The 6,204-nt window shown below is 35.7% G+C and overlaps 1 annotated feature.

The window, feature by feature from the left end:
* Nucleotides 417–1,334: an enhancer, noted in NCBI's record as "NANOG hESC enhancer chr17:68865615-68866532 (GRCh37/hg19 assembly coordinates)". NCBI's record gives its function as "activates a minimal SCP1, AML or CMV promoter by ChIP-STARR-seq in naive H9 embryonic stem cells {active_cell/tissue: H9 hESC(naive)}" and the evidence as "EXISTENCE:reporter gene assay evidence [ECO:0000049][PMID:30033119]".

The raw sequence follows: 6,204 nt of genomic DNA on the forward strand, positions 1-6,204 counted from the left end.
ACGTAGGAAAACAGAAGCATTAAACTAAGTTTTTTGTGGTTTCTTGTTATTAAGATATTGGGCAGCCAAATCACTACATATATATATATATAATATGTAAAATCTCCATATATGTATGTAAAATATATATATATATGTAAAGTATATATATGTAAAAATCTCCATATATACATGTGTATATCTCCATATATATATATATATATGTAAAATCAGAGTAAAATATGACAACTAAGCAAAGATTAAGGCACCAATTTAATTTATAACGGGTGCTAAATATATGTACTATCATTTCCTTTGAAATCCTATGCAGAGTAACATGGATGATATCTTATTATAAAATTGTTACAAGGCAATTACTCTTTGCTATACTCTACACAGCTGGTCAATCCATAGTTGTTTTTTCAATTCCAGGTTCAAGTTACATTTTATTGTTTATTGTTTTATTTTGAAATATTTCTTCTTGGCACCCTTACCAGAAAAGTCGCAATCTTTGGTCGAAATTTGATAATGGAAGATTAGTTTACTGGTCAGGATATTGTGGATTAATTAAGATGGAAATCTGGAAACTGGTTTTCATTCTTTGTTTCCTACAGTGAGCAGTAAAAGAACAAATTAATGGAGTGAAACATGATCTCTTGGCTGCTAAATTCCAAAGAACAAATGTGATATTTAATTACTTACAGATATTGAGCCTTTTTCCCCCACTAATTTTAATTTTGTCTCCCCATTTGTAAATTATTTGGTGTTTTTGTTTGTTTGTGCCATTTTGTTTTTAAGTTAGAACTCATACAAAGGTAATATATCACCATAAGCCCTGAGGGCATGACACAGAAGATTCACTTACAAAGGACAGACACTCTTTCTAATGGGTCACAACATTCCTCTGATGGATAGGAGTCACTAAACTGACAATAGGTTGCTTGAAAGAGCTCTCATCTGAGCTTTAATCCTTATTTGATTTAACATTTTATCTTCATTGAAATATCTTAAACATTTGTTGAATGATAAAATCAGGATGTTTTTATTTGTATTCCCTGAGAGCTAAAATTAAACAGAAGATGCACGTATTTCACTTCCCATATTTTAGAGAAATTATTTGAGCTACACTAAATACAGCATTAATAAATCTGACTGTGGCTTAACTATATTTGTTCTTCTTAATTAACTCCACAAAATATCTGCCATTATCTTACATATTAACTTCATATGAGAAGAGGAATAAACTCAGGAACCTCACCACACAATTGGTTAGGACCACACAAATTGTCCATTAATTATTCTGTAAATACTTCATACAGCAGGTCTGTTTTCCCCAGCAAGATTATAAACTCCTTGAGGACAAGAATTATAAACTTCTAAAATTCCTAGCACTATCTAAAGCCAAAAATAAATGTATATTATGTATCATTCAAAAAAATTTAAGCTAAATCTTTTTTAAAACGACAATCTATCATAGATGTTCATTAATACTTTTAAGTAGTTAAGGTTTGCTATCTTAGTAGTGGGAAACCCCAAAAGGGAGCAAACGAGTAGGGAATTCATTGCCATATGGCTCGTCAGATTCTATAAAAGATGTAGAATCTTAATAAGTTCAATAGCATTTCCTTTTTGTGCCTAGAAATAAATATCAACAGCGTAGCACCCATTTTAACAATTATCTCTTAATGACAAAAATAATGCTTACACTTTGAGGAAACATTTAAAAAATAAAAATGTATAATAAGAAAAATAAGAAATACAGGCCCAACTCCAGAGAAAGCGCATTAATTTTGTATCTTTTCTTCTAGGCTTATTTGTATATTTTAATCTATACAAAATTTAAAGATTTTACAAATGATGAATCACTTTGGGTATGCAGTTTTAGTATCTTGGTTTTCTCATGTATCTGTATACAATGATAGTTTTCTCATTTAAAGAAATATCCCATAAAATATTTTAAGCTGATTCATTAAATTCTATGAAAAATGAAAAAAATCATTTAATTTTTTCTTTTTTTTTGGCTTTTTATTTTAGTATTTCTCTAAGAACTAAAGTGCCAATAGCACTAAAGATAACATCTTTGTGTGCATATTTGATTGTCTTATTTTGTGGTGAATTTCAAGACTTAAAGTAGCTAATGCAAAAGGATGATAATTTGTATTAATTTTGGTATACTATACCAACAGTTTTGAATAATATGTATGTCAGAAGGCCTTAAGAAATAGAGCATTATGTCTGCTGTAATTATTCTCTCCTCTTTTCTGCCACACATAGCCACATGGCTCAGTCATTATCTTCTGCTATTTAGTATATTTAATACCAAAGGAATTCCTGCTAGCCATCTGCTTTTCTATGTTAATTCTTGCCCTTTGCAGTTTTCCTTACAAGATATAATCATCTAGAACAGCAGGTCCCTACAGAGAACTTGAACATTTGCTTTTAATCAAAAGGCATAGTTTATATTAAACTCAGTAAACAAAATCAGGGGACTTGTATAAATAACAATTTGTGCATATCATTTTCATTTTTGCTGACACTTTTGACTCTGGTATTGATCTTTCTCCAGGTTGTGAAACTCAGAGGGCAAAGTGCAAAGTTCAAAAGTGGCTATTTGCCTCAAGGTTTATTGAAAATAAAACATCAACGGAAGTCCTCTGAAGTAATTTGAGGAAACTTTTTTTTTCTTCTAGGAAGGATGTCATTATTCAGTTTCTAAGGTTAAGTCTGCTTAGAGAAAAATAATAGAGTGAAAATAGGCTTGAAACATTAGAAAGCTGGCAGAAAACATCTATATAATTGTGGGACTGAATGCAAGTATGTAAAATTTCCAAAAACAAACATTGCATTCTATATGGAACATCTCTTTATCTGTTCATCGTCCAAATACAGAAACTATAGCTCCATCTTGCCAAATCCATAGTATGTGGACTGAAAAAAAAAAAAAAGAAAAAAGAAAAAACAGATGCAAAATGAATAAGGAAAGAGTACATTTAAAAAAATACATTTTTTAAACTGGTTTAATAAGAAAATTAATTTTAAAAAATCAGTACAATTGGATTGTCATCAAGCACCTAAAAGGCACAGCTCATTTTTTCAATTGTCCTGTTCCAAATGATTATTTTGTTTCATGCAAGCACTTGCTGGGAACGTTTCCATGCTGAAACAAGACAAGTGCAGGCAGAGCTGTTTTTAATTTTTAAAGATAACTAAAAACATACAGAAAAGCCTTCCAAGCTTGACTTGAAATTGTTGTATCTAAAGATTCTCAATGCATTTATTAGGAAGTGTCCATCCAACTTAAGAGAATTTTAACAGGCGTCCTAAGGTCAGACTGCAAATCAGGCCAGGAGTCAAGAGCTTCAGTAATCTTTTCCCAGCGTCATGCAGTAGATCCTGGTTATTTTCAACCAAATTAGACATCATTTTGGATGTTTATTCTCCCAATTATCTCCTTACCCCCCCAATCCTTCTAAGTTTCTTTATGGTTTTATTTAAAAATTCTCTTAGTTTTTTATTGCGAGAGTAACTTAAGTGTGGTCTATTTGAAATCTTCATCACATATAAAGGGGGAACACAAAATCATTTATGTAATAAGACTCCAGCTAACAGGCACCCTCCAGCAATCTGAATGCTTATGAAATGGCATGAAAATAAATCCAGAAAATTAAACTAAGAGCTAGACAAAATATAAACTACTTTGAGCTGTGCTTTTACAAGACAGATATGTCTAGGTATATGAGCTCCTAGTTTTCCTGGAGCTTACACTCTAATGGTGGAAGACATGTAATATAACCAATAACCAAATAACTAGAAAATAAACTTTCAGGTACAGTGAAGAGCCATGAGGCAATAAAGCAGTGTTATGAGTAATGATGAGGGGTGATTGAGAAAGGGTGATCAAGAAATAAGAAAGATCTTATTGAGAAGATGGTGGCTGAGGTCAGTTCTGAATTAGGAAGATGATGATATAAAGCTTTTTGGGAAAACAGGACGGAGGGAAAGAACAGGAAGCATAAACTCCTAGAGTGGGGATGATATTTCTTTTCTTTCCATTTCTTCTTTTATTTCCTCTCCTCTCCTCTTCCCTTTTCTTTTCTTTCCTTTTCTTTCACTTTTGCTTTCTTTCCTGGAGAACAGAAAGAAGGTCAGGATTGACAAGATGCAGTAAGAGTCAAGGGGTAGGTAGGATATGTATAGAAAGTAGGCAGGGGACAGATTATGGATTCTAAGTGCAGTCAAAATGGTGGTAGCCATTGGACAGTAAGTGGAATTAATTGATTTCTACTTAAGTCATTTTTTTTTTTTTTTTGAGACGGAGTCTCCCTCTGTCACCCAGGCTGGAGTGCAGTGGTGTGGTCTCGGCTCACCGCAACCTCTGCCTCCCAGGTTCAAGCAATTCTCCTGCCTCAGCCTCCTGAGTAGCTGGGATTACAGGTGTGCGCCACCATGCCTGGCTAACTTTTTTTGTATTTTTAGTAGAGATGGGGTTTCACCATATTGGCCAGGCTGGTCTCAAACTCCTGACCTTGTGATGCGTCCGCCTTAACCTCCCAAAGTGCTGGAATTACAGGCGTGCGCCACCGCACCCAGCCTTAAGTCATTATTCTAATTGCAATACTGACTGTGGATTACTGGGGAAACTAGCAGAGATACTATCAGTAGGATACTGATTGAGATTCAAATAGCAGAGAATCCAGGTAGCAGTTGCTTAAATGAGATTAAAATGTCACTTTCTTTCATGTAATAATAAGCAATTCATTGTTGATATAGTAGATCCTGACGTGATGAATGCGGGCTGTCTCCTGATTTCCATTCTGCCATATCTCAAGGGTAGAAAAAGCAGGAAGGAGGAAAGTAGGAAGAAAGGGCCCTTCTGAAAGATGCATATTCCACTTTCATATAGCAGTGGTAAGAAACTAGTCCCACATCTAAGCTGGTTTTAAGGGAGGTCATGAGCTCAGTTAAAAATCGAGCTGAGGCTGGGCGCAATGGCTCACACCTGTAATCCCAGCACTTTGGGAGACTGAGGCAGGAGGATAGCTTGAACTCAGGATTCAAGACTAGCCTGGGCAACAGAGTGAGACCCTTGTCTCTACAAAAATTTTAAAAATTAGCCGAGTGTGGTTGTGCATGCCTCTGTAATCCCAGCTGCTTGGGAAGCTGAGGCAGGAGGATGGCTCGAGCCCAGGAATTCAGGGCTGGAGTGAGCTATGATCACATCACTGTACTCCAGTCTGAGAAACAGAGCAAGGCCCTGTTTCAAAATAAAAAAAAAAAATCAAGCTGATCTTATAGCCATCATGCCACATATGAGGACAAGGCTGGAGATAAGAGGAAATAAGCTACATGTGATGAGGGGAAAGGATGAAAATAACATTCTTGTCTTACTAAATCACCTGAACCCTGGAAACATCTGTTCTTATAAATTCTTGTCATGTGAGATAATAAACACTTTATAATCAATCCATTATTATGAATTGGGTCTTCTGTAACTTGTAGCCAATAAAATTTGATATGATAAATCTCAGGTGAAGCAGGGTGATGATGATGTAGTATCCACCTTTTCTAGTTAGTCCTTCCATGTGATGAGATAAACACTCCACTCTTAGGGTACTTAGATATCAGTGCCTTTGCAAAACTGGAGGCATTTTTTTTTTTTTTTAGACGGTGTCTCGCTCTGTCACCCAGGCTGGAGTGCAGTGGCGGGATCTCAGCTCAATGCAAGCTCTGCTCCCCCGGGTTCAACAATTCTCCTGCCTCAGCCTCCCAAGTAGCTGAGATTACAGGTGTGTGCCACCACACCTGGCTAACTTTTGTAGTTTTAGTAGAGATGGGGTTTCACTATGTTGGCCAGGTTGGTCTTGAACTCCTGACCTCAGGCGATCCACCCACCTCGACTTCCCAAAGTGCTGAGATTACAGCTGTGAGCCACCAGACCTGGCCATGACATCATTTTGATTCCTCATATCCTAGGGTGCTGATAGCAGTCATGCCTTCATGTAGCAAATAGAAAGCTGAGGGGAAATCTGTAGAATTCATATTCAAATCTGTGAAAGTAAAACATCAAGACTAGGGGCTGAATTATATATTTGCCTAACATATGTAGAAATCACAGTGGTGTTCATAGGTTGGTGGCATCTCCATTTTGACTTTGCCTTGAAAGTTCTACTGTATGGCATCATGGTTAAGTATTTGGGCTGTGGAATCCAACAGATGAGGGCTTTG

The sequence above is a fragment of the Homo sapiens genome, chromosome 17 (genome assembly GCF_000001405.40).
Source record: "Homo sapiens chromosome 17, GRCh38.p14 Primary Assembly".
In the NCBI taxonomy this organism is placed as follows: Eukaryota; Metazoa; Chordata; class Mammalia; order Primates; family Hominidae; genus Homo; species Homo sapiens.